This window comes from Homo sapiens, chromosome 9 (genome assembly GCF_000001405.40).
Source record: "Homo sapiens chromosome 9, GRCh38.p14 Primary Assembly".
Classification (NCBI taxonomy): domain Eukaryota; kingdom Metazoa; phylum Chordata; class Mammalia; order Primates; family Hominidae; genus Homo; species Homo sapiens.
Window position 1 is genome coordinate 78,209,778 of NC_000009.12, and position 1,539 is coordinate 78,211,316.

Below are 1,539 nucleotides of genomic sequence, written 5' to 3' on the forward strand. Positions count from 1 at the left end.
TCAAATGAGGATCTGGTTTCCATAGGGCCACCAATGAATAATATCTCAAGAGTAAATGAATATTGCGGGTGGCTAGTAAATGGCAGTTGCAATGATATCACCTGCAAATCCTTCAGGTTTATACCTGATATGAAATTATGATTATGTGACAAGAGCAAATCTTTCTTTTTTTTAATTTTATTATTATTATACTTTAAGTTTTAGGGTACATGTGCACAACGTGCAGGTTTGTTACATATGTATACATGTGCCATGTTGGTGTGCTGCACCCATTAACTCGTCATTTAGCATTAGGTATATCTCCTAATGCTATCTGTCCCTCCTCCCCCTACCCCACAACAGTCCCCGGTGTGTGATGTTCCCCTTCCTGGGTCCATGTGTTCTCATTGTTCAATTCCCACCTATGAGTGAGAACAAGAGCAAATCTTTCTTATGCAATTGGCTGTTCCTTGAAGATTTTGACTGAGGAATCAAGATACAATATATATTGCACTTCAAAGTGAGTTGCTAAAACAAAATACAAATTTTCAAAATAAGTATCTGAACACCAATGACAGAACTCATCCCTCACACACATTAAAAATACAAAGAGGATGAAGTACATGGAGGTTGAAGGTGAAACTGGGAGGAGGATTTTGGAGATAGATGTTGGAGTGCTAGATACCTCAACAAGGGTGAGGAATAGAAGATGTTTCCCACTTAACGGTTTTAAGGAGCCCACATAGAGAATTCAAGATGTGCTACATTCAGTTTAAGGCAGCAGTGTCCAATCTTTTGGCTTCCCTGGACCAAAAGAAAGAATTGAAAGACAATTGAAAGAATTGTCTTGGGCCATACATAAAAATATACTAACAGCAGCTGATTAGCTTTAAAAAAAATTTGCAAGCAAATGTCATAATGTTTTAAAAAGTTTATGAATTTGTGTTGAGCTGCATTCAAAGCTATCCTGGGCTGCATGCAGCCCATGGGCCACAGGTTGGACAAGCTTGATTTAGGGGACTATACTTGTGTCTGATTCCCACTAAGAAATGTAAACACAGTGAGATAGAAGTATTTAGAAGCTGATCTAGGAGAGGTGGCTGTGGCCAAAGAAAGTGTATTTCCTGAGGAAGAGGTTTGTACCACTCTTGAGAGGCAGGCAGTCTGGGAGCATCAAGAATCTTTCTGAGGGCTATCTGAAGACTAAGAGAACATCAGAAGAAGGAAGCTAGCTGTGGGTCACTGGATGGTGAGAAGTCGCAAGAGGAGCTGCCAGTGACCAGCTAGAAGAGACATCATTTCCCACATCAAAGAAACGGAAAGAGAAGCATCCCCCAACAATGGCAGCTTTCATGATAACCCACAAAAAATGCACATAAGAGAAAAAAACAGCTTCACGCTCCAGCAAGCAGAAGCCATCCACTGACAACATCAATCAAATAAGAACTTTCTCGCCCTTTTCACTTCCTTTCCCACCTTGCAGTTCCAGCCTGAGGAAGCCAAGACAGACTTTTACAGGTGGCCTAATCATAGCCTTGATGGGCAGATGGAGGGAAAGTG

The 1,539-nt window shown here is 41.0% G+C and overlaps 1 annotated feature.

Moving 5' to 3' along the window:
* Positions 1,220 to 1,539: an enhancer, noted in NCBI's record as "active region_28486". NCBI's record gives its function as "activates an Ori minimal core promoter by ATAC-STARR-seq in GM12878 lymphoblastoid cells {active_cell/tissue: GM12878}" and the evidence as "EXISTENCE:reporter gene assay evidence [ECO:0000049][PMID:35858748]".